The sequence below is a fragment of the Homo sapiens genome, chromosome 9, assembly GCF_000001405.40.
Source record: "Homo sapiens chromosome 9, GRCh38.p14 Primary Assembly".
Classification (NCBI taxonomy): domain Eukaryota; kingdom Metazoa; phylum Chordata; class Mammalia; order Primates; family Hominidae; genus Homo; species Homo sapiens.
Genome location: NC_000009.12, coordinates 79,607,761 through 79,635,513, shown reverse-complemented (window position 1 = coordinate 79,635,513; position 27,753 = coordinate 79,607,761). Strand labels below are relative to the sequence as shown.

The window sequence follows — 27,753 nt, the reverse complement described above, 5'->3', positions numbered from 1 at the left end:
TGTAAAACTTCTACAAGAAACCCCAGAATAACATGTTTGCGGTCTTCGGTTAGGCAAAGATTACTTACAGACAACACCAAAAGTCCATAAAGGAAAAAAAAAGCCTAAGTTTAACTTTGACAATGTTAAACTATAGATTGGGAGAATTACAAAATACACAAAAAAATCCAGAAAATTAAAGAACTCTTAAAACTCAATAATAAAACTGACTGATGAAAAAAAAAGAGGCAAAGATTTGAACAGATATCAGAAAAGATACAGAGACAGCAAAAAAGACACTTAACATCATTAATTGTTATGAAAATGCATAAAAAACACAGTAAGTACTATTATGCACCTATTAGGATGGCTAAAATAACCTCCCCAAAACCTGTAATTCCAAGTGCAGACAAAGATGTAGAGGAAAGGTTTTCTTACATGTAATATATTAGTGAAACTGCAAAATAGTAGAATCACTCTGAGAAACAGTATGTCAATTACTTGGAAAGTTTAACGTGCATTTACCATGTAACTCAGCAATCCCACTTCTAGGTAATCACCCAAAAGATATAACTTACATTCACTTACTTAAAATATCCAAATAAGAATGTTTCTCGTGGCTTTATTCAACCAACTGTCCTTTAAGGAGTGAACAGATAAACTGGTATATCCATACAATAGAATATCAGTCTGCAATACACAGGCACTAACTACTGATATGAGCAACCACATGGACAAATCACAAATGCCTTATGCTAAGTAAAAGAAGAAACCTCGGAAGGCTACATGATATATAATTCCATTTACATGACATTGTCAAAAAGGCTCACTTTGGAAGAAGACACATTTTCAATGGTTGGCGGGGGCTGGGATAGAAAAAAATGACTGACTACAAAGAGTAACAAGGGATTGGGGTGGAGGGAACTATCCTGTATCTTGATTGTGGTGGCAGTTACACAACTGTATTCGGTTGTCAAAACTCAAAGACCTACACACTGGAAAGGGTAAATTTTACTTTTTGCAGATTACGTCTCATTAAATCTGATGTAATAGAGAATATCAATAATGAATTTCTAAATTCCTAATCCAAATATCTGAAAATGTATCTGCAAATATAAAAAAATACAAATCCGTAAATGTATGCTGCTTCATTCTTATGTTTTTTATTAACTATTTCTCTTTACTCTGTTATCCATGGAAACTAGCTTTATTGAAATTAAAATGCGTTAATTAAAAGTTGATTATTTGTAAGTACAATGTAATACCAGCAAGCTGACAGCTACCAAAATTTTAATAGAATGATTTAAATGTAACTTGAGGATCATTTCAGAATATATTTCAGAAGACAATTTAAAATATCACTCAAAATGAAAATAAAATATGCCCCTTTAATAGGATATTGGTGAAAGTACTCAAATATTTACTGAATGAATGAATGGACATAATCATTAAATAACTCTTGCTATTCACTAAAGAGTTCTAACCTTTTCACAAAGGTCTTAAGGACAACACTTAAGACCACACATGCATTTTGGGGTAGAAGGATTCCCAAACTGGTTTCTTAGGGAGCTTTGAGAACAGGCAACAAAAGTCCTTAAAAACCTCACCTAAGTGCTTGACAGTTAACCACTGTCAATAACCCTTTAGTTGCCTGTTTGGTGTGAGACTGTCTCTTATAGCCCATGCTTCTTCCCTCCCTCTCAGCTTCGAGGGGTACAAAGCAGTCTGACACCACAAGGAAAAAGGTCTCTGACTATACGGAAGTTGGTGATGCTGCTTGTGGAAACACTGCTGGCAGGAAATCATCAGAGAATTACAAAAGTGACACAAAACCAAAACAAAACAACCTATAAAATGGGGTAACACTCTGGAACTGCAAGCTTGCAGGTTGCCTTATTCTCTGTTTTAGCCTGTTTTTCTATATAACCATTCCTCAGACCTCTGCATAAGCTCAGCCTGCCGAGCTCTGTGGATCTGGGAGAACTACTTTCTTCTCAGTGGAAGCCAATGCCCATATCCCTTCCTCAGATACATCTACCCAGACACATTCTGCAACTCTTATAACACTTTGAACTCAACTCTACAGCGATGGAAGTGCATTCACTGGGGGAAAGGAAAGGATGGCTCAGCTCCAAACAGAAAGAAAAATTGTAGCATTGCTGGCTAGTCCCAGTTTTGGAGGTGAGAGGATTGATAGACTGGCTTCTAGAAATTTCTTCCAGAGAAGCTTTGTCATAGAAAATAACGGAGAGCACATCACAAGCACAAATCAGAAATCCTATTCCTTACCTAGTGGTTTTTGGGCGTCTCTGAAGTGCAGGCAGAGTTTTTAAATTACTTAAATATATGAGAGTCTTTGTTATGAGAGAAGGGAAATTACTGCCTCTTAGAGCCTCATCAAACCGTAGCAGAAAGATTAGATTATGAATACATCATTCAATAATGTAGTCCCCTGCTCCATGGCAAATGAACCAGTTAAGAAAAGAAAAAGAGTGAGGGGCAGGCACACCCACAGAAGATAAAGAAGAAAGAATGTGATGTAAAACTGCTTTGGTGTTCCTGCCATGTGTTTGATGAATGCAGGTGAGTAAAGCCCTCCAAGTGAGTGCATCTTCAAGCCAGCCCCTTCCCCCATTGTGCAAGCTGTGTGTGTACACGACACAGACAGTGGCCAGCATGTTTTATAAAGCCTTTAAGCTCCAGGCACACTATTCAGTAAAGACAGTAACAAAGCTGAAATAACAATCTCTGATAAATCTATTTTATAGCTCATTTTTAATTTCATTCTGTATTACATACATCTAGAAAATACCAATAGTAATCAGCTGCAAGAAGCAGAACAAGATAGAGAAGCTCACCTGTAAGTTTACTGAAAAATATTTATTTAAAAAATAACACAAAAGCTGAGTTGTACAGTTGAGCTGTTAAATATGTTTTACGCACAGAACTCACATCAGAAAACAAGCCCTGACTCTAGTACATGACTACAATTACCTACCTACACTGTAAAGCCCCCTTAAGTAGCTTGAGGCCTATGAAATCAAATCCTAAGTGTCTGCCGGGAAAGTGGAGGGAGAGGGCTTGGCTGCAGGTAATTTTGAAATGATCACAGAACAGGAGTACGGGCCTATGAATAGTGAACCACGGAAGGGGGAAAACTCAAAATAAACATGTATTATCTAGCCTATCACTACTGTGGGCAACTGAAGCTCCATCCTACTGGAACCTTTTGTGGAGTAGCATAGAAGGCATCTTACAGGTGTCTCCCCCAGAGAATGCGGGGAGCATTCCACTAACTCTGTTTCCCTGTGGGATTCAGGGTTACCCAATGCAGCTGTAATTCCTGCACTTTCCAGGCTGTGCTTGTGTAAGTGAAGGGTGGATTCCCCACAAAGGTTTCCCACAAAGCACTGGGGGAAAGCAAGCACTTCGCGCTATGGCTGACTGGAGGTGCTGTCAGGCTGTGGGACACATGTTGTAGTGGCAAGGGCTAGAGAGAAAGGAACTGAGGGGTACACGGTGGGCCCAGGAAGAATACTTTTGTAAAAAAACGTAAATTTTTAAATTTAATTTCAAGTTGTGTGTTACTGGAGGCCATGTATCCACAGGGGTATATTTCCTACACTTGCAATGTAAGGGAGGGAAACACACACACACACATTTTTATATATACCCACATATTTATATCTTTCCCTTTCTGCCTAATGGCTAAACTGTTTAAAAAGAATACAAGGAAAATGACCACGGTGGCTCATCCAAATGCCTTTGAAAGTTAAAATGGCAGTTTTGAAATCTATAACGGAAAAGAAGAGACATACATTTTTAAACAGTCATACTGCAAGACCCTCTTACCACGTTGTCAATGTAGAAAACACACACACACACACACACACACACACACACACACACACACACACATTTAAGGTTCAATCATATGACAAGGACAAGAAAACAAAATACTAAGGGGGGGACCGCAAAGGTATTGTCTTTCTTTTTTTAAACTAACTCAAACACATAGGATGGTAAAGGCAAAGTCATTTAAATCATTTCCTTAGTAATACAAGTAATATTTAAATAGATTTAATAGTGCTGCTCCAATCCAATGAATTATGGGTTTAAAACCTATTAAAATGTAATGTTTTTTTCCTGAGCTGAGAGGAAAGAGATTTAAATCCACTGAATTTTAATATTTCAGCTTGAGCTGCAGGAGGTAGAGAAAGTCCAAATGAACTATTCCATCAGCACCATTCAAGCATGAACATTTTAATCAGTTTTACTTCCTTGGAGTTCTCTAACACAGTTTACGCTGTCATTCTGAAAGCACTTAACACAGAGAGTGTGAAAAACCACCAAGGCTTGTTATTGCCTTCACAATTGATGGCAAATAATTTTGCAGACTTCCTATCATTAAAATGTCACTGCTAAAAATTGAGGTTCAGCATTTCTTGTGCTAAACTGCAATTCCTACAACACCATGGCATACCTGTTTCCTAAGGGTTTATTGGGGATGGGGGTGAGCTTTTTTCCAAACGCATACATTTCTATCATTTTTTTTTCCTCAGAATTAGGTTTAAAAAGTGGGTTAGGGGGTTTCCAAAGGAACCCACATCGTCTATTTTTATAAGCCAAACATTTTCTTTTCCACTATTCACACTGACTAAACTTTTTTTCTTAATGGTAGTTTCTTTGGTGAAATTCTTATGAGGTTCCAAGTCAGCCTCCTTTATTAAGCATAACCACATTCACACAGCATGTACTGATTATATAGTGTAATAGATTTAAAAAGCATTTTAAGATAGTCAGGTGACTCAATTTAATAATACAGGAAATGAAAACATCATTTCTAATTAGATCATATTACTGATTTAAAACTACAATTTGTGTGTTGTTCCAACAGTGTGATCTCGCAGAGATTCTAATTTAAAAACACAGTGGCTAGCAGGACACATGACAAAATCAAACTAGATCCATAACGTTCCCCTAGCCCAACTGAGGGAACTTGGGGAAGGCCTGAAGGAAATGTGTAATATCACCAATTCAAAACAAAACACAAAATATCAACGATGGGAAACCAACACAGGAATTTTCCTGGTTTTCTTCCTTATAAATAAAAGATAAATGATATTTAACTTATTTCAATCTATCAACAGTTTTAAACTGAACATGACCTGTGAAAGAAATCATTATAACTGTGTTTCATTCCATTAAACACAACCAGCTTATTGTCAAGAGAACAGCCGCCTCTCCAGATTACGGGATCACTTCAGCATTTTGCATTTAAACTGCATGGATCACTCGTTTGGCTCATTTACCAATGAAGGTAGAATAATATTGCAGAGTTAAAAAGGTGCTTCATCAGATTTCATTAAATCTGGGAACATTTGCTCTTGTCTGGATGGTGTGCATACATATAAAATAGACACATATGTAGTGATAAATAAATGAGGGTCTGCAGGGGCTTAGATGGGTCTTTGCCTCTCAAAGGAAAACTGTCATTCCTTCAGTGCAGAAAATCACTGCTGACTACATTCTAAAAACCAAGTAACAAAAATCTAAAAACTGACCCCTAGTTGTTTTTGGTAGCGTGTCAAAATACCACCAACTCAGCCAGCCATCTACGCTCAAGGGACAGAGAACAGCAAGTGCCTTTAAAATACTACAATGTTACAACTGCAAAAACTACTGGATGCAAGCACTACCATGGCTAAAAAGACAAAGAGAACCTCAGCAGCAAAAATTTGTCAAGTGAGTTTGTAACTGAGCTCTTTCCTTCTCACTTGGTTTGTGGTTCTCTAAAACTGTTGGGTTTGTTTTCCTATTTCTGCAATCTATTTTCCAGAATAGTCAGATAATGTGATTTCCGACTCCATTTTCTGCTCAGATACCAAGAGTTTGGAAGACTCATCAGATCCAACTATATCCAACTATATCCAAGTATATGCCGCGTTGATAGCACGTAACGCTGCTTTGACAGAATGTACTGCTGAGTTAGTTCTTTAAGTTTTTAGGTCACAAAATTAAGTTAGCTTTATTTTAATAATTAAATACATATAAACACAATATGTCAGTAACTTGGCTGCAGTCTAATAAATCCTCATTTCCCCAAGAAAAGGCAATCGGCCATTCCATTCCAAATAAAGTATATAAAAATGAATAAATATAAAACAATATTAAAAATATTCTTGATGTGAAGTGAAGGGAACTTGTTCTGATTTTATATCTTCCCTCATATTAAGCAACATCCAACACATAAACAAAGTGTTTTTTATTTAGCTTAATCTCTCCACTGTACAGTCATTAAAAGACTCAAAAAAAGGAAAAAAAAATAATAATAATCCATTCTGTTTTCCTAGAAAAGGCTGCCAATCACACATAAGGCAGGAGGGCTATCTGTATTTCAGCCATTCATACAAACAGTAAACGCTAAGCTAAAAATGACCCAGCAACCTCTCCTATCAGGGATCACTCTGCACATTCTCTCCATGGTAAACAGTAGAGACAGTAGAGAAATGTAGGTTCTATCCCTTCTGACCCCTGGAAGATTTGGTAACAAAAATATCCACAGTGAATACAACACCTGCACTTGTGCACACACGTCAATGGAGCACAGCTGGTTTATACATATACACACACACACACACACACACACACACACACACACTTAACTTTAAAATTAAACCTTTCTCAACTTTTAAAAATTTAATATACTGCTGTTTCCTGGAGTTTTTGGAAACGAAAACCAATTGCGAAATGTATTCGTCTCTACTATCCGTCCCTTCCCCTGCCCATCACACAAAATGTATGACAAACATTATTCATGATTCTACATGGCTTCTTCTGATTCAGCCTCTTGTTTCCAAGGGGCACTCTGGAGGAAATAAAGGTCACTCTTTTCCATTCATTACATCTGCTAATTTCCTACCAGGTTTTTTTTGTTTTTTTGGTTTTTTTTTTGGTCAGAGGGACATAAAATAGAGCTCCAAATACCCCATTAAAAAACAAGCTACAATCAGACTATGGCGCCCTCAACATCAGCAGTGATCCCAGAGTTCTGATTTCCTTGTTAAAAGACAGAGGAATAATTGAAGCAATATCTTCACTTCAGATTGATTATCAGGCGACCCTTATCCACATCTTCACTCAGCAATTTGAATTTTAATGAAAGTAAACGAAATAATTAGCATTTCAAAGTGTGTTTGATACACTGACAGAAAAAAAAAAGACTTTTGTGTATAATCTATACACAAAAGAAAGTATTTGGGAGGGGACAGAAAGAGGAAAGTGCAGTTGTAGTGTCTTCATTAGAATAACCCAAGGAACTGCTTGTACAATCTGCATAAATAGAGAGGTGAATATTATGCTCTTTACAGCTGTGATTTCTTGCCTTTATTGTTATTTCTAAGTTTCAGCACATTATTTTATTGCCTGTTACATTAATCTGAGAAAAAAAAAACATACATATATAAGCAGAGTTGAAGTGACTGCCCAAATCCATGAATTCCAGCACAATTTCTATGCAACATTAATGCCACTATTGCCAGGAAGGATTTTCTAAATGGGCCACTGATTTTTTTAAAAATAAAGTGTAGTTCATCTATTATTTCTATTTCAAATGGACACTAACCCATAAGAGCCACTCATGACAGGGGAAGGAAGAATAAGTAGAACGGGAGATGTGAAAATGTACACCTCATTAAAAATGATAGTAAGATACTCTACATGATTATTCAAGGAAAGAAAAAAGAAACCAGGTCATTTTAACGTCAGGGCAATCTATATCTCTTTTTTTTTTTGGCCTAGGTTAGCAACACAAGCTGATTGCAAAGCAAAGAAATATGAAAAAGAGCTATCCAGTCTCCTTAGAGGAGAGTTTTCATGAACACATCCACTTAAATTGGTGAGAATGTGATCCAAAGTTTCTAAGGCAGCCATCAAATTTCACAGGAGATTGAAGGCAAAGTGCTTAATTTCATTTTGTAGTCATCTATTGCTTTTTGCCCCTTTGGCGGAACAAAATGTAAAAAGAGAGAGCGAGAGAGCTGATGACAAACACTAAGATCAGAGCTAAAATGGAAAGGCCACGTACCCCAATGATGGCGTTCAGTTCTGCCATGGTCACCTGCTTGGCCCGTTCCACAGCCTGCACCACTTGTTGCTGGTGCTATAAATGAAGATCAGAAACAGAATACAATTATTTGTTTTCTACTCAGTCAAGAACAGCTTTTCCTAACATGTCCTCTAACTTCAGTTACATGCAAAACAGCATTTGGGGGATCTCCAGGTTTCCAATACAAGCCTGAGGTGATGGATGACTAGATGTCTAGGGTACATCTGGGTCCACAAAGTTGAGGAGTCACTGGGCATCCAACTGCAGGTACCATCTCTGTGACCCCATGAAGAATGCTCCTTTACAACAGCTTAAATTTCACTTAAAAGTTATGGTACACTTGGACCACCCATCTGCTATTAGTACTAACAAACAAAACAGAACCCATCCCACTTGCTTTCTTTGTACTCACTACCTTTTCTCTTTGCTATCTACATTAAAATTTTTAAAAATTGTTTCCTGGAAGTAATTATTTTTAAATTTTCTCCCGATAACGGTTAGCGAAGACACCGGAAGGACATACATAATGCAACATACATATTTCTTCTGGAAATGTGCAAATTGTTGGTGTTTTAACCCCTATCATGAGATAGGGATTAAAAAGAGATCAAAAACATAGAACTCAAGTTTAAGAACTTCAGGTATTTCTTTTAAATCCAACAGAAAAACTAAAGCCCACAAAAGTGTACGATAATTTTTTTTCTTAGAAAAACTAGGACGGACAGTACAGGAAAATCCCTCCATCCACAACTCAGTTCCAGTGAGAATAAGTAAGAACTGATGTTAGTAATTTTTGTACAGAAAAAGTAGCATGGAAGTCTCTGTATAGGGGCACTCATATATATCTAGACACAGAAGTGCTTACAAGAATTACCCCCTCCAAATATTATCTAAATATTATTTCCCATTAAAACATTTGACCACTCTAGTATCTACAGTCAATTTTGGTTTAAAATCAGTCTTACTGGGTTTCTTTCAACTTGGTTTAGTGAATGAAGAACCAAAGGAACTGCGCCGTGAAACAAGTACTCCTCTGTACATCTGAAGAGTCTTATTTTGGTTAATCTCAGTTGAGAAATTTAGCTAACTTTCTTCACTTATTTGAGATGAGTATGAAGCTCAACTACCACACTGCTTAATAATACAAAGAGCTATCAGTTCAATGTGGAATTCTCCGTGAACCACCTGGCCCCCATTCCAAAATCCTCAAATATAGTTACTGAGATTAACTAGGGTGACCATTATTTCCACCTCTGAGCTGTGTAAGGGGAGTGGGGAGGCCAGGTGGAAAAGGAAACGACTTTAATTATTTACAATGTGATGTTTTCACTCTTGGTTTCCTAATAGAAATGTGTATTTTGTGTCTATGACTAATGGGAAGAAAAATGTCAAATAATAGACCATAGAATCTTAAGCTTTTAATAGACTCTGATTATTAAACTATATACTTTTTAATGTTTTTAAATTGTATGCATTCCATTTTCAAAGCAGGAGCTTAAGAAGCAATCCCAAAATATATATAAATATATATTTATTTATTTTATATAAATATAAAAGTCTATTTATAGATATGTCCATTCCATTCTTTTATTCCTTATAATATTTGCTAACATGGAAGAAAAAAATTTCTTTCTCTGAAGCAAGTAAAAGTCTTAAGGGATTTTGAAAATATTAGAAGGAATAGAAGGGCACAGTCAATAAAATGGCCAGCAATTGTCATTTCAGGTTCCCCTAAAGCCAACCTGACCATGTATGTATGTTGAGCACTTACTATGTGCCAAACACAGAGCTCATGTTCACATTGAAGACAATTTGATTCTCTAGATGGTGAGAAATGGCAGTACTTGGAAAACAAAAAAAAAAGTAGGATAGAAATGTTTATGGGATTTTCCACCTTTTACTTTCCTATACTCAACAATGATATCAGTTAGTGTAGACACCGGAAGGACATACAGAATACAACAAACATGTTTCTTCTGGAAATGTGCAAATTGTTCGTGTTTTAACTCCTATCATGAAGGGCTGCATATTTAAAAGCGATCAAAAACATAGAACTCAAGTTTAAGAACTTCAGGTATTTCTTTTAAATCTTAAAAGAAATAGATTTAAGGCCGGGCGCGGTGGCTCACGCCTGTAATCCCAGCACTTTGGGAGGCCGAGGCGGGCGGATCACGAGGTCAGGAGATCGAGACCATCCCGGCTAAAACGGCGAAACCCCGTCTCTACTAAAAATACAAAAAATTAGCCGGGCGTAGTGGCGGGCGCCTGTAGTCCCAGCTACTTGGGAGGCTGAGGCAGGAGAATGGCGTGAACCCGGGAGGCGGAGCTTGCAGTGAGCCGAGATCCCGCCACTGCACTCCAGCCTGGGCGACAGAGCGAGACTCCGTCTCAAAAAAAAAAAAAAAAAAAAAAAGAAAAGAAATAGATTTAAAAGAAACTTAAAACTTCGGAACTGAAACAAAGGACCACACTTAAGTCACATCCAACACAGGTATCATTCATTCTACTCACGCATTCATTCATTCAACAAAAGTTTTAAAGCTCTTACTCTACCAATTCTCCCTATTGTTGAAATATTATCTGCAAGTATTCAAAGAATAGTTTCCATGAGACGGAGATATGGAAAATACATCTACTTAGTGCCATTCTAGCATGAAGACTGTTCAACACTTACTTCATGAACTAGATTCCAATTGCTAAAATGGGCAAAGATGCCTTAGGCAGCAGGGGATATCTTTCCGCACTGGCATTAAAATCAAGTGCATTTTTTCAGAAAACCGGAAACGCACACCAGTGAGCCATAACTCTGACAGCCTAAAGAAACTCCTGCTATAAAGCTAAAATGACAATGGAAGTCATGATTCAGCTTCTTCTTTTTGATGGCAATGGCTGTGGGCTGATATCTGAACTTTACCTGCAGTTCAGAATTCTACTTCCCTATTTCTGCTTACAACCCATGAATCATTCACTGTTTAAGGACCTTTTGAATAGAAGCTCCCTAAGGCAAACAATGCCTCCTCCCCTGTGTGCTCTGAAAGCACCAGAAACACCCTAATATATTAGCTCACTCAGCCACACCATGTAACATTACGCCACAGCCTGAGGAAGCACCCACCAGGGAAGGTGAGAAAATTAAAACCCAAACAGGAAGAAGGGTCAAAAGATTACACACAAAAGAGAAAAATGAACATGCAAGGAAGCCCAAAGTACTCCCATAAACTGACCCAGGAGGCTTTTTTTTTTTTTTTTTCCATTTTCGGGTTTTAACAAGTAAGCTCTCACTCAGAAAAAAACAGCAAGTTTTTCACATCTTCTTAGAACTATGAGGGCTTTCCCATTATGTCTGCCTTGTCTTCCACTTTCCCTCCCCTCCCCAATCTGTCCTCTCTTCCCACTCCACCCACATCTCATTTCCTCTTCTACTTCCTGCTTGTTCCCTCAGCCACCAAGCCAGCACTAGCACCAGAGTGGTGGGTCCAGCCAATCTGCAGAGACCAAGTGTTGTCATTCTTACTGCTCCAGCTGCTCACTCAGATACAAGTGTCCTGTTTGAATGCGCCACCAGTACCACCAAATGAAATGCCACTAAGAATATATTAGTAAGCCAAGGGTAAGAGAGGGGACCTCTAACTGGGATTTTGAAGAGACAAAACAAATGCCCAATTATTTATTCTTTAAAATGCTGTACTTTACAATTTTAAAAAAATTCTAAAAAAAAAAAAAAAAAACCCTTAGATTGTGGTGATGGTTATACGACTCTGTAAAGTTACTGAAAAGTATTGAACCATACACTTAAAACTAGGGAATTTTATGGTGTGTAAATTATACCTCAGTAAAAATAATTTTTTTAAAAAAGTGATTTAAGCAATACAAACATGGTTGCAGGGGAAAGGGCCAGTAAAATGAAATTCTGTACATTAAATCACTTGCCTTACTTCCATCATCATAAAATTATTTCTGGCATTTGTTCAGACAAAGTACTAATATATTTTTTCTATAAGAAACTAAAATAATACCAGCTCATAAGTCCAAAAAAGCCTGCTAAAAAGCAGACCTTAACAAACCAGTAATATGTGTATAGTAGGTGTTTAATATATATTTCTCAGAAGGTATTATGATGAGAATACCTGTCATGCCAATGTTTTAGGGCACAGCAACAGATGCAGTACTTCTAATAAAAAACCGTAATAAAAAGCTATAGTACACCTCAGAATTAAAAAAAAATAATAATAAAACAAAAACAAAAGAACTCCCCTAAGGAATAAATGAGACAAAAAGACAAAATGCTGATTACTGCCGATGTTTAGTATGGGTACCTGTAGGTTCAGTATATTCTCTCTCTAAAGTATGCTTCAAAATTTTATAAATTAAAATTTTAAAAAAACATTTAAAAAGTACTCCCCATATTGACTGGGGTAGTAAAAGAGTATAAGGGTAGAGATAGATATAAAATGAAACAAAATAAACTAGGATTCTCATAATGAACAATATTAATTAAAGTCTCCAACATGTGGAGAGGTGAAAGTAAGACCAATGGCCCTGCTTCTCACGTGATGAACTCATACACAGAGCACATCTTAGAGGAATACAGGATATAAAACAGAAAGAAGTTTTAGGAGGAAATGGCCAGCGCACTTCCCGCGGCATCTGGGAAGGCTTTGTTTTTTTCATCCATTCATTCAAATATTTATTAAGCACCTACTATGGCACCAGGCACTGTGGTAGGGAGATACTAAGGTTAGAGTAAGGAACAAGAACCATAGTCTTTGATCTCATAGAATTTAAACTCTATCAAGGAAAACAGTCAGTGAATTAATGCTCAAAAGGCTCTATAATTACAACTGGAGGATAATTTCCATAAGAAAAATTACAGGATGCTACCCAATCATTTATCAGGGAAATATCTTAATCTAATATTGGGGCTAGGGGAAGATTCCCTTAGGAAGCTGACCTGACAACTGAGACCTGAAGGATTTCCAGGAATTCTGTAGATGAAGAATGAGGATAAAAGAATTCCAGGCAAAGGGAAGAGAACTGGGTAGGGGCCTTATAGGAAGAGCAAGAATGTCTGTGTGGCTGGAAGAGGGAGAGCAGGTAGGGGACACAGCTGCAGACAAGCAGAGTAGAATTTCATAGGGCCTTCTTGGGTATGATAAGACACATAAGCAAGAACACTTTAAAGTGGAAAGGGTGTGCACACAAAGAAAAATAAAGGAAAATGGATGAAGACATGAGTGTAGCATGGAAATGCTTTAAAGAACCAAGTATTAGTGGGAAATGAATTCTGGCAAGACAGGAGGAGGCCAAACAGCAAAGGGCTTTGCATGACATGCAAAAAAGTTGGACTTTATCCTGGTAGGAAATGAGATGTTATTAAAAAATTTTAAGCAGCTATGTGCTATCAGTTCTGCATTTGAGTAAGATGGATCTGGGAAAAGTAAAGAAGGTGGATGGCAGAGAGGTAAACCAGATTGAAGGGTAAACAGTTAGAGGGCTGCAATATTCTAGGGTGAAAGATACTTAGGCCCGAACTTGGACCAAATGCCCTTTTGGCTAATAGAAGCCATTAGCCACATGTACTTAAGAAGCCACTCATAGAAATTCAGAACTGGAAAAGGCCTTTAGAGACCATGAGACCCAGATGCCAGAGTACCCCAGGCACTATTAACAATCAACCAACCAACCAATCAACAAAAGACTCTCCCTATCACCAAAAGCACGCAAATTTCTAAACACTGCCGGGGCTGAGCAGATTGGGATGGCGGAACTACAGTACCAACCACAGCCCAAAGGCCACTACTCTATCCAATGAATCAATCTCCTCTGTCACACCCTAACCAGTCTCTCCTTGATCACCTCCTGTGAAAGGCAATTCACTACCTCATGGACAAGCTTTTTCCATTTTGGGATAATGAGCCCTAATACTAAGTTGAAATCTACCCTGCCATTAATTCTTCCCCACTGGACCCAGTTTTGTCTTTAAATTCTCCTCCATTGACTGACACTCCAAGTATATGACAATGCATAATGCATGTTCTCAATTTTATCTCTTCTAGGTTAACCATCCTAAGGTCACTCAACAATTTCTCTGTGTCATGGGCTCTAGCCCACTCATCCATCCTTCTGGCTAGTCTCCTTGTAGTGCACATTACTCCAGGTATGGCCAAGCAGATCAAATTCAAGTGAAAGTGTCGCTCCATGTCTGCTAAGTCAGGATAAAAAATCCCACTAAAAGCCTTTTTCAGCAACTCTATTAAATTTGCTAGTACAAATCAACTTAAATTTAACCCAATCTCCCCAAATCAGCCTTTCCTATACAGTATTCAAAGAAACATTAATCTGATACAGTTTGCATATTTGTCCCAACTCCAATCTCACATTGAATTGTAATTCCCAATGCTGGAGGTGGGGCCTGGTGGGAGGTGTCTGGGTCATGGGGGTGAATCCTTCATGGCCTGATGTTGTCTTCGCAACAGAGAGTGAGTTCTCACAATATCTGGCCCTTAAAAAGTGTATGACACCTCCCCCTCAATCTCTCTCTCCTTTTCTGCTTTCACCACTTCGCCTTCCATCATGAGTAAAAAAAGCTCCCTGAGTCCTCCCCAGAAGCCAAGTAATGTTGGTGCCATGCTTGTGCAGCCTACAGAACCATGAGCCAATAAAGCCTTTTCTTTATAAATTACCCAGTCTCAGGTATTTCTTTATAGCAATGCAAGAACAGCCCAACACAGTCACCCAAGAAATTAGATATTACTTTAGATATTACTTAGACACATACATACACGTACACAAACACAGGTTTAATTTGGCAAATACCCGGTAAACTGCAGGTTATCTCAGCACCACAAAGCTTAGAGAGAGTAAATAAGTATACCTGGCTTCCCAAACAATTTTAGCTGTGGAACATGGGATTAAAGCTCTTAGGAGCACATTACTGACTGCCTACCTGGCCTTGCCTTCTCCACTCTCACTTACATGGGGACAGGGCATTCTTCACGGATAGGTAAGCTCTACAAATTCACTGCTGTCCAACAGAACTTTGGGCAATGTTGGAAATGTTCTGTATCTGTGCTAATAATATGACAGCCACTAGCCACATATGAGTGGATACTGAGCACTTGAAATGTAGCTAGAGTAACTAAGAAACTGAACTTTTAATTTTATTCAACTTTACATAGCTACTACTGTATTGGACAATGCAGCTCTACTCAAGGTACCTTCAAACTTAGCTCCACTAATAATAATCTAATCACTACCTAACTAAAAGTCAAATAAATGAGTCAGTTCTCAAACACTCATTAATTTGTTGAGACATACAGATAAAGGTTGGCATTGCTGCCTTTGGATAGAGACCCACATTTAAACCACAGGAAAAAAGTTCTACCTCCTGAGAATCATCTTTCACTTCTTGAGGTCAAACAGGCCATGATGCCACCAGATGAATCTCACCAAGCAGCCAACTGTCACCAAAATACATGGTCAGGTACAGCAAGCCAATCAGTCAACCACGGAATATGGGACAGAATTACGCTCTCTGATGGCTCATTCAGTATTATGAGAAAATATATATTTTTTAAATGAAAAGTTACCCATGCCCACAACCTAATGTGAAAATCAGAAAACTGGGCCAAATCCCCAGAAGCCCCAATCCATGTCTATTATTCATTTTAGGACATTCTTCCGATATATGGCACTGTCATAACATATTACCAAGACTGACAAAATGGCTCCAACTGGGAAGCAGACGTGCCCTGTGCAGGCTGCTGGCACTTAACACAAGCACTTTCTGAAGATGGTCTTAGGGATGTCACTGCATACTTGCCAGGGGATCTCTGCAATTTTAACCATGCTCTCCTATATCAAACCTGTTATCACAAGCCATTGATTCCTCGCAAAGTTAACAAGCAATAAGACAAGTTAACCTGGCACGACTGTAAGGCGATAACACTTCCACCAGTGCATATAACCACTGTATTTTCTTCATTTCCTCCCGAAGGCACAATATGAAAGTGACTGATCACATTTTTCAACTTTCATTTCACAATTATTCTATACATGCAAAATGTGGCTCCAAGTAATTCAGTACCATATTAACCGAGATGCCCAAGTAAACAGCATCTGAGATATACTCATATATCACAATGTAGTAGAAGGGGTTTGTTTTCCATCAAATTACATGGACCAAATTTATGGCATGTCCAAAACAGGAGTTTATGTATCGTTTGATGTGACTAGCTTTTCTAGCCTGTTGGATTTATAATTCAAATAAACTCATATTATCACTATTATGTAATTGACTATTATTTTCTACCAAATAAATGCAATGGAGAGTGCCCAAACACTACTTGGTACTACGTGTTAGAAAAGCTAACAGGGCAATACAAACCAAGTTTTAAGTTAAAATTAAATTTGCACCAGAAAGCATTCAGGTTGGTATGGAAGTTCCCTTTTCCCCAGGTAAAATAAGTATAAAAATGGAAGGTTTCCATTTTTAGGTCCTAATTTCCCTTTTATATTCTCAATATTCTAATGATCAGAGAACTATTGTTAAATATTGTAAAAAGAATAACGTCTTCTTTATTTCATTTGTTAAACCAATATTTTCTTAAAATAACTGATGCAAGGGAAAAACAGCTCCGTTCATGTGCAAGTGCAGGCCCCCAGGTGTGCTCCTCATCATTGCTGTGAGGACTAGCCTGCAGGGCTCCTCCATCAGCCTCTGAGCAGCTCGGCTTCTGTTTCGACTCAAAAAACAACCACCACCACCAAAAAAAACAGTCATGGAATTACAGGAGTGTAGAAGGAGGAAAATGTCCATCCTCCTTGGCACCCAGTGACTAGAAACAAGTCTGCTAATAACAAGGTTAAAAATGAATGCCATTTCTCTAAAGGTAACAATGACCATGAGTTTAATAAATGAGAATTAGGAAGCCACTGGTCATAAGAAACACAAATATAGACAGCCCACAGAGGCCATACTGTTCATGTAGGTTCTTTTCCATCCCCTATGAATGTATGAATGATAAATAATACCTGATGGGTGACTCTTCTCCAACATTCGAATGGTAAGGAAGAGACTTCTATAACAAGAACTATGCATTATTTTATATCTTATGTAACTGAAAAACATGAGATGTGCTAATTACATAGTCAAAGCTAGAGTTTGTTATGTAAAGATAAACCATTAGCAGTAACAATAGCCATAATTTTTATTTTGTGCATAGCATTATGTCTGGAAGCAAGTGGCAGTTGTCCCCCAGTATCCCTTCTCTTACACTGGTGTAAGTTTTAGGGGGGCATAATGGTCACTCAGCTAAGACTACATTTCTGTATCTCCCTTACAACTATCTGTGGGCAGGTAACTAAGTGCTGGCCACTGCAAAGAGGGCAACCTTAAAAGGAAATAACTTGCCCATTCCTTTCTCTTTCCTGCCAGCTGACGCTGGGGCAAGACACAATGGTGCAAGGATGATGAACGTCGATATAAAAGGAACCGAATTCACAACATCATGGAGTCACCAAATTAGCTATAGATGGCTTCGCTGTCAACTGTTACTATTACATGAGAGAGAAACAAGCTTTTTTTTTTTTTTCCTTGAAAAAACCACTGTTCCTTTGATCTCTGTTAAAGCAGCCAAACATTCAGTGAGGTCCTTTTACACTGTCACGAATCCTCATATAAAAATCCTACAGTACAGGTATCCCATTATACCGATAAGCAAACTGCAGCCCAGAAAAGTTAAGTATTTTGCTCCACATTTTAAAGAAAGCAAGTGGCTGAGCCAAGATTTAGTCCTGGGTCTGGCTGACCTCCAGCTTTTATTACATTGCCTCTTGCCTAATGTGCCTCTTCCAATGAATGTGCTCCTTGTTACTGAAGCGACAAGTTTCTGAAAAATACAACTGTACCCTGGAGAATAATTTTCAACTATAACGTAATAAACTTTTCACCTACTGACCTACTGCTTTTCAAGAGTTTGAGGTTCTCAAAGATCTTAGGAACACCTTGTGGATCACTGTGAAACATACCCTATCTTAAAAGTGATCCTTATAGGGAAACAAGAGTACAAAAAACACAACTATCCTCCAACAGGTCCTCAACTAAGTGCACAATATTTCCTGCTTAATCTAACAGGTTAAGAAAAATACCTACTGGTTTACTTAAAAAAAAAAAAATTCCCTTCCTCCTGAAAGATAACCTGTGTGGAGCTAAATGTCCATCGTTGGAAGCAGCTACTGGAGCTGCAAGGCCTAGCTAACTCTGCAGGAAGACTGCCAGCCAGCTCGTTTGAAATATTACCTTGAACTCTTCCCAGTTTTTACTAAGTCATTCCTTTCCAAATGTCTTAGGACCCCAAATAACCTGAAATAGAATCTATTTCCCTGGAAGTAAAATAGGAAAAGAGCAGGTGGGGAAACGGCACTCCCTATGCCAAGTCTGTTACATTTTGATACATATAATACACATTGTAAAGGTGGGCTTACTCTCCTTATTCTACAGGAATACTAAGGCTTAGAGAGATCAACTTTGCAATGCAAAGCTAGTGAAGAGGGAGAGCTAGCCCAATTCTAAATTAGCAGAAATGCTGTCCCTTACTGCCAGGGTGTAACAGTGATGTAGAGTTTTAGGTCCACCTTAGACTCTCTACATAGATATGTTCCTGGAATTGGGGGATGGAGGAGGAGTTGTTACTGGGATACTGGAAGCAATACAATATTTATTGGCAATCCTCAGTTTTACTAAGGACCCACTGAGGTCTAAGGGTCTATAAGCCATATCCCAAAATTGCCAATGGAAACAAAAACATAGATTTTTAGCTAGTTCAAGGCCCTGGGTTCACTTTTAATTTTCATTTTTTCTTCTATAAGGACATTAGAGAGGAAGATAATCAATTCACATTCTTCCCAAATGCAATGATTAGAAAAGGGAGGGAGGGCTGGTTCTAGCTCCTCCCAAGAGGAGACAGAGCTCCACTGCTGCTACTGTAGTTAATCCCACTAGTCAACGGCAGTAGGTGCTTATTGTGTGCTAAGCTACCTGGGTATAATCCCAAGTAATCTTCACAGACATTGGATGTGTTTCACGCTATGATTAACTTCATCATACAGATGAGGAAACTGAGGCTTAGAGAGGCACATCACTTGCTAAAGGTCACCCAGCTTAGCCCAGTTAGAGTAAACCACACGATTTGTAATAGGGAGGCCAGGACCCAGATCCAACTGTCATCATCCTGGCATCTCTTGTTTATGGAACTGCCAACTCAGAGTTGATATTTATAGTTCTTCCCCTGCAAATGAGACCGAAATAGGGAAAGAAAAGAGCTTCCCGTTTACCACCTTGAGATGGCTTTTTGAAGAATAAATTTGAGTCTTATCCATTCCTAAAAGCTAAAAAGTGAAGTGAGAGAAAAGAACAGCTTGGGACAGATGAGGGTTCACAAGGTTTTTCTAAATTCTGATATTGAGAATCCTGTGAAATTCTATGAACTCCAAGTGATGAGTACTCACTTTTAATGACAAGAGTTGGCAATATCTTTGTCAAATGCCTGTAACGCTGGAAGCAGTTGTACGTGAGTGCAACAGCACATTATTAAAGTATATATTGGCTTTAATATTTTTAAATGTTTTAGTAAACTCTAATAGGAAAATATTTTTCTGTGATTTTCATATACAGACACACTTCAAGTACTTCTGAACACAATTATACAACTCATTTCTAAAAAGAAAAAGTCTTGAAGTTAAAGCTAAATTTAATAGTTATCATTCAGTACTATATAGTTTTTTTAAGTTTAAAAAAATGCGGTAAACCAGACGCAAGCAATATTAAGCAGGTATATTAATCAACACATGGGGGCTAAATTAAAAAGAGACTTCATCTAACAGTATGTAAATATACCCCTTGTTCCTGTCAAACTCCAAAAAGCCTGACTTCAGATGCTCACAATCGCTCCAGCCAATGTTCTGTTAGCTTATGCACTACTCTTCAGGAATTGTTTTGCTTTTTCCTAAATACGATCATTTAATTTTTAAATAAAAACATTTTAAAATAAATTCTAATGCAGCAGCTGCCGTTTTGGTAGCGAGACTGTCACACAGAGAGCCGGTGTTAAAAGATCAGATTAAGAGCCTTCAGTCCTGGCACAGTGATGCTCACAGCCATGCAAGAGTGATTTTCCATGCCTCTGAAGAGACAGGAAACAGAATTCATCTTCCTCTACTAACCTGCTCCTCCCCTCCCTCCAGATTATGGTCCATCTGGCTTCAGGGCAGAAGCAAGGAGTCCAATGCTCACAGAATGCACAGAAGAAGAAACAAGGTGGACGATGTTCAGATAAAAAACATCAGAGATGCCCTGATTTGAAGGAAACAAACATGTTTGTGTCTCACACAATAAAAGATACACACATACCTTAGGAAACTAGAAAAAGATGAGTAAATTAAATCTAAAGTAAGCAAAAGAAAATATATACACAGAACTAGCATTTAGAAAACCATGGCATAGATCACGGGTGTCCAATCTTTTGGCTTCCCTGGGCCACACTGGAAGAAGAAATCACACACACATCCCATTTTATGTGGGCTACACATAAAATACACTAACGATAACTGATGAGCTTAAAAAAAATTGCAAAGAAAAATCTCATACTGTTTTAAGAAAGTTTAAAATTTGTGTTGGGCCACTTTCAAAGCTATCCTGGGCCACATGTGGCCCACAGGCCCTGGGGTTGCACAAGCTTGGCATAAATCATTATACGTGAGTCAAGGATTTCAACCAAGAAATGTCAAAGTATTTGGGAAATAAATAGTTAAGTGGTATGACAACAGTTAAGTATGACACCTTTCTTCCCAGACTAGAGCAAATGAGTTGTCAGTATCTCCCCATGGCTTTCACCTACAGGTACAACTTCCTTAGACAATTAATTTCAGTCCAGTCTTGCTCAGCACCACTACCATTATACATTCTGTTCCCACTGGGCCTGCTCACACAAACAACATAATTCATGTGGGAAAACAACTCATTGGCAAATCAGCTTCATCAACATCCCCAAGACAACCTTCTACTTCTGAACACAACCCACAGATCCTGCAGAAATGTGATGAGACCAAAGCCATACCAGCGATCATATACAGGGGTCTGTGCCTACAGAGGCCCAAAGTCTAATACCACCCCAGGGATAATTCGAACTTTTCCCTGTCACCTTAGAACATGACACCCCAGCCTGGTTACAGCTCTGTAGGTCACACATTCTTCCCATTCTCCATCTCCATAAAGCAGAGCTGCTTAAAGTAAAAAATACACACTAGTCTGGATCAGGCAGGGGGCAGTCAGGTTTCCAAAAGAAATGCAGATACACCCCTTGACTCTCATTCACCAAGCCATCTAATCTAGCCATAAGCAAATCCTAAGTAAAAACAGGCAAATGGGGACATGACTGGTGGTAGGTTTTGTGGTCACAGCTAAAGGAGGAGAAAAGACAACATACCCTTTGTTTATCAAGACCCAAAAGAGCATGTGAATTCAGAGTGTCAACAAGATTTGTGAATATGAGTGCCCCCTCCCCAGTATATACCTATGAAGGGTACCCATAGTTACTCAAGTCTAACCCAGTCCAGACCAAAGAAAAAAATCATATACAGCAATCTGCATATCTATAATACACATGCAGGCTCAAATATTGGCCACATAACATTGGCACATGCCCGCTGGCAAGCAGGTGAATGAACCTCTCTCCTGAAAAGCAGTGACACAACACACTTATAGAACAACTGAAAGGGTAGGAAGAAAAGTGCCTCTGTGCCTTCTCAGCCCACAGCACAAAGTATTGCGGCTACAAGACATGCAGATATTTCATTAGCTCCTTCCTTCTTAGAGTGGATCTTACCTGAGCAAATGAAGGCATTCAGTAATCCAGAAGCAAAAAATTATCTTTTTCCAGTATTCTCACTTCAACTTTGTAACTACCAAAAGTAAGCAGGGAGAGAAAAAAAAACCACAAGGAAGCCAACAAGCACTAGAAATGCATCGCTTTATTCCAACCTGTGCCTGTTTGCTGATGGCATGCACTTCCCCTGTAGGTGAGCAAGAGAACTAGTGAGCCGCATGCCAGGCCTTAGCAATGTGCTAAGCCTACCATCACCAAAGCCTAATTTTGAGAAAAGTGGCACTCAGAGAAACGAGTTCAATGAGTTCATCTTGCAGGTCTTTTCCCAAAAGCACAATAATATAAAGACTTAATCAGGAAACAAGAAGTAAATGTTTAAAAGTAGCTAGCCAAAAGCTTCATTAGTTTGTTTACTACAAAAAGTCTTTCCATTTGATATGTCTTCTGCCAATTCTTAATGCCCAATGACAATAGTACAGAGTAAGCTCCTGTTTTCCTGGCAATTTTTCAGTCTACCCTATTAGGTACCATTATGACAAACAAGCATAATTCTGAGCAACACGACAAAGATAGCAAAATATTTTAACGACTGAATTTTGCTTAGCCCAACTAGAAAATATTCCATTATGTAAACACATATAAATTATATCCCACAGAAAGTTACTAAGGTATACAAGTTGGAGTGAGAACACTGTTTCTTAGAAATGAAAATAAAATACAAACACCAAGAGACTGGCAAGGCCAGAGAGTCAGTTCTACAATCCCTTTTCTGCAAAACCACTAAAATGGCAACTTCTAGTCCAGTGCCTAAAATCAACTACCTTACCTCTTGGGACAGGAAAGGAATGACTTGTGCACAGATAGCATTCAGCCTCTTGACAATCTCTGCCTGCAAAAAATAAGGGAAAGGAAAGCAATAAAGAGAACAGTCAGCTGGTTACAGATTCCCCAAATATTAACAGGATGATATTAAAACATACTTTATAATTTGGCTGGCATATTTCCTAAGGAAGAGGAAAACTATCTCATCAGTAAGCCCATTAAAAGGAAGCAGTGACAACAGTGCCACATTAACAGCACAATTTATTAACCAGCATTCATCTTAAAAAGTTAACCTTCAAGCATCAGGGCAATATAAAATGGAATTTAATTTCCATGACTGGAAATCAGTTTTCAACAGCCTTCACCAGGACCCTTGCTCATACTAATGTTTTCCATAAAACCTGCAGTCTTCTAAGTCTTAAGAATTTAGATAAGTAAAGATACATTCTTTCCTACATCTCAACTCCATCAATTAGCAAATCATTGGATTTCTATATTTGTGGCCTTTGCTTTAAAAACATTGGTGCTGTGATTTTAAACTCAAGACCCTAAACTTCTGAAACAGCAGCACCCAAACAACCCAAAAAAGTTGGCTAATTCGGATTCTTACAAATTCTTGGAGAACAAAATGTTTTCTTCAACCATAAAAATTTCCAAATGTGTCCTACCAAGGTTTTCAGTGTGCAGAGGTTGAGATATGCTAAAATCTTATTACACTTAGCAGGAAGCAATCTGTATGTATCTGGAAACTATCCTTGGGAACTTTTTTTTTTTTTTTTTTTTTTTACTGTGGATATGCAAAAGTCCCAACAATGTCAAAGAACAGTCTATTCTCTAATAATTTTTATAAGTACAGACATTTTAAACCAATAAGATGCTACAGTAAGTTAAAAGAAAAACCACCACTACATGTTTTCTTTAAAAAGTTACTCACAGTTTTACCAATGTTTATCTTAATTTGTATTTTTCAGATGGTGCCTTGTATATTTTGTGATGTATAAATACACAGTTTTTTTTAATACACGTACATACAAAATAGTTTATATTTTAATGATGGAATGGAGGAAAGAGAGCTAAGAAGAATTGAAAGGCAGAAAATGTAAAGCAATTACTATCCCTAAGACATTCTTAAATTCCATCCAGGGTCAGTTCCTCATTTTATGTGAGGCCCAAAATGCCTTTTCTTGCCAAGTCATTACCAGAATGACAGTGACACTCTACTTGTGCAATCTAGGCTTCCTTCTTTCATCAGCAACCCTTCTAACTGTGTAGCTATGCAATCTTTTAAATGCCAGCACCTTAAAAACTTTACCAGCCAAAAGAAAACACAAATTCACCATGAAGTTTCAAATCCAAGCTTTCCATTCCAGCCTGCATTCCTAACAGTATGGACAAAAACCCAGCACCAATAAGCTGCAGTGAATAAGGACCCAACTGTGCTGACCTGATTTAATTTACTGCACTGGCCCCATGGAGCATTTAGCCATCCTTTAAGAATGCTTAAGCCACCATGAAGAGCTGCAATGGGAATCACCAAACCACTCTCCACCTGGACGAACATACCACAGTGGTTATGGGGTGAAATTCCAGGGTGAGCAATAAAAATAGAGTAGCATTCACCAGGCTGAAAGTACAGCATCTCAAATGCATTTGGTTGTTAAGCTTTTTGCAGGGAGAGGTGGAGGGGGAGAGAATAAAAGATAATGAGACACTTTGGGGCAGACCAAACTGATGATTCTAATGCTTAGAACCATCTGCCAAGCATATTTTCGTCATTATGTTGTTTACATAAATAAAATAGTCCCTTGCTAGGAGGGCTGAAAAATGTGTGGGCACATAAGAAAACTGAGTTCTTTAGTTCGCCTACATAATCTAGGCAATAAAAACGACTCTAAGGAAACTTATTCATCTGGTGAAATAAAATTTTGGACCTAGGCTGTATTAAGTCTGAGCAACTATTTTTTAAAAAAATTCTACATTTTCTTAAAAATAAATGTAAAAAGGAGAAGAGCCTTTTTATTCAATCACATAGGTTAACACACACACAACAGAAACGGGAGGGCAGAAACCTTCCAAACTTCCGTTAAAGATCTCCTTTTGTTTAAAAGACTTCTTAATTTCTTTAAGTTGTCATGCCAATGGATTTTCATGGTCAGGCTAATTGGCAGTGGGGGGGTGGGGTGTGTGTGTGATTTCATAAAATTAAGCAGGTCATTCTTCACTTTGAAATCTAAAGTTGCCTCGGAAACACTGCTGCTCCCATGGTCATCTAATTTCGCCTCTTTTGTCCCACAGGACCCAGCTTTAGGGAGGCATCATTTATTTACAGGCCTTTCCACTGGGCTTTAGCGATCAGCCAATAACACTGTGGACACACACTTCTAATGGCCTATGTTTTGAAACTGAGTCTAATATAATGGCGTGGGGCCCAAACTCCTTTTCCAGCACAGCCATTAAAGGATGTAGGTTATTGCTGTTGTCACCATTGATATTTGTCATTGTAATGTAATTAGGGCCCTAAAATGATGCATTACAGCCCTTGGCACAGCTTCTATTAAAATCTTTTCTTCTGCTCACTGAACTGCGACCTGCTTTCTGATGAATAACAGACAGACAGCTTTAGGGTAAGGAGCAGATTCATCAAAGAAGTATTTTTCAGCTTTGGGGAAAGAAGGAAAAAAAGGCAACCTAGGAGGAAAAGCAATAGGGGAGGAAAAGCCACAACACACATTTGAATTTCATCTGACCACTTGAAATTCTGATTGCATCTGATGAATCTTGCTTAGACAATATATTCCCAGTCTTTGAATCACATGGTTAATCAGGGCTCTAATCTGCTATCCATCAGGCTACGCCAGTACTGTTAGCTTCCAATCAAATTTATAGGTGATGTGGGTCATGCATCCCTGAGCAAGTACATTCACAGATAGCCCATTTAAACAGGCAGGGATTCTGAAATATTGCTGTTAGGGTTACTAGATATTATAATGGTATTTGATGCTTTATGGACACTGCTAAACTATTGCCTTCAGATGCTCATGATATTCTAAAATAGCATTAACAGCCCCAATAAAAGGACAATTGTTCATGTCAAAATGTAACAAAAAGATCATACTGACAGCCACACTTTGTCAAACACATTAACAATTTTTGACAATTCCATTCTATCTTCCCTATCAAGATGCTCATTTAAAAAACAATAAAAGTTGCAGATGTATTTTCCTACCCTCAACTCACTACCATTCTATTTCCTCTCTCTCAAAATTACCCACCTTTACACCATTCTCCAACAAAAAAATAAATAAAATAAAAATGATCACCATCCCTGCTAAAGAAAACCTTGGTTTGGATAAAATATCTCAGAAAAATGTAAAGACAAAAAAGGCATTCTACGAAAATCCCTTGGCTACGCACTCAACACATGACATGTGACTGTCAACAGGCTAACTCTACAGTACTGATGGACAGTGGCCTAGGAGCATGACCAGGTAGTAACGAAACAGGAAAACACAGAAAAGAATCTTTTATCCTTTATTTCTTCATACTCCAAAACTCAAGAATCATTGGAAAATTTATCATCTATCTTACATCATGGGAAAGTGATGTCATGTGTTGAAAAGAAAGCTGTAACTCAATCACTAGGTTAAAAAGTAACAAATACTAACGCACACAATACCAAATACATATTTCCTTTATCACATAACAAATTTTACTAATCATTTAAAAGACAAAAACTTAGTTAACCCTATACCTGAATTTAACTACATTCCCTGAAATAGACCTGATACAATAAAAATCTGATTTTTATTTAGATCATTTCAGCCTATATGATTTCCTTAAAAAGACATAAATTTTATTTTAAAAACATAATAAACTTGGGTGAAAGTACCAATAGCTTTATTTTAGTAATCAAACGGATATATCAAAAGCAATTGTTGATTTTAAAAACTGTTTGATGGGTTTGTCTCTCATCAAAATAGGAACAACATTACTACATATGTATTGTTGAAATAAAACAGAATAACAAAGCGTTATTAGGAAACCATTTCAGCAGCTAACTTAAAGCAATTACAGTTTTAGGAAACATTCCTGAAGAATAACTTTTTACCATTCGTTTTCTGTACAGCAGTTTCTTGCCAAAATTTTTTTAAAGATGAATCTATTTATTTTATTGAATGTTTATCAAGAACATACATTCATCCACTTTAATATCAACATTTTTTAAAAAGGTGACAAAGAAGTCCTACTTACCCTGCCTGAAATACTTTTTGGAATAAACACAAATAAATCTTGCAACCTTATCACTTCACTTCACCACTAGAGAACAAAGACTGCAATTCTTTAAAATTTCAATCAGAAAATATCTTGATTTGTTCCAAATTTTCTAAAGAAACTGTACAACTTCTGAAACTGATCTTGCCTGACCCTAGATTAAAAAGTCAGAGGACTAATGAGAAATTCTAACTTAAAATCCAGACTAAATATAAGGAAAAATTTTCAAGTAGTACTATTTCTCTAAACTGACAACTCCATTTTTACCTTATCAAAAATCAATTTTACAAAAGTGTTAATAACATGTAACACATAAAACTAATCTTAGCTATTAACTCCTATTCAACATAGTGTTGGAAGTTCTGGCCAGGGCAAACAGGCAAGAGAAAGAAATAAAGGGTGTTCAATTAGGTAAAGTCAAATTGTCTCTGTTTGCAGATGACATGATTGTATATTTAGAAAACCCCATCGTCTCAGCCCAAAATCTCCATAAGCTGATAAGCAACTTCAGCAAAGTCTCAGAATTGGAAAAAACTACTTTAAAGTTCATATGGAACCAAAAAAAAAGCCCGCATTGCCAAGACAATCCTAAGCAAAAAGAACAAAGCTGGAGGCACCATGCTACCTGATTTCAAACTATACTACAAGGCTACAGTAACCAAAACAGCATGGTACTGGTACCAAAACAGC

The 27,753-nt window shown here is 37.8% G+C and overlaps 1 protein-coding gene and 1 long non-coding RNA gene across 51 annotated transcripts in view, besides 1 other annotated feature; both read right to left on the bottom strand.

Moving 5' to 3' along the window:
* The window catches only part of TLE4 (TLE family member 4, transcriptional corepressor), a 154,918-nt gene that overhangs the window by 91,369 nt on the left and 35,796 nt on the right, over positions 1–27,753 (bottom strand). For 33 of the 50 annotated variants that reach the window (NR_104239.2, NM_001282760.2, XM_011518952.2 and 30 more), the window contains 2 exons: positions 22,796–22,858; positions 8,066–8,140 (listed from right to left, as the gene is read on the bottom strand). The exons of 3 other annotated variants lie outside the window; for them this stretch is intronic. Coding sequence is in view for 46 of the 47 variants with exons in the window: in XM_011518952.2 (XP_011517254.1) it covers positions 8,066–8,140; positions 22,796–22,858 (138 nt within the window). In the remaining variant the exon portion in view is untranslated. The remainder of the gene's footprint in view (positions 1–8,065; positions 8,141–22,795; positions 22,859–27,753) is intronic. 14 more of the 50 variants (XM_011518963.2, NM_001351558.2, XM_011518964.2 and 11 more) reach the window with 2 other exon arrangements.
* Positions 11,780–22,789, bottom strand: LOC124902329 (uncharacterized). The gene is made up of 2 exons (XR_007061903.1): positions 21,970–22,789; positions 11,780–20,438 (listed from the first exon to the last, which is right to left on the bottom strand). It is a non-coding gene; the product is annotated as an uncharacterized LOC124902329 (long non-coding RNA).
* Positions 23,672–26,344: an enhancer, noted in NCBI's record as "VISTA enhancer hs1078". NCBI's record gives its function as "enhancer in: neural tube[7/8] | hindbrain (rhombencephalon)[7/8] | midbrain (mesencephalon)[7/8] | forebrain[7/8] | cranial nerve[7/8]" and the evidence as "EXISTENCE:transgenic organism evidence [ECO:0001131][PMID:17130149]".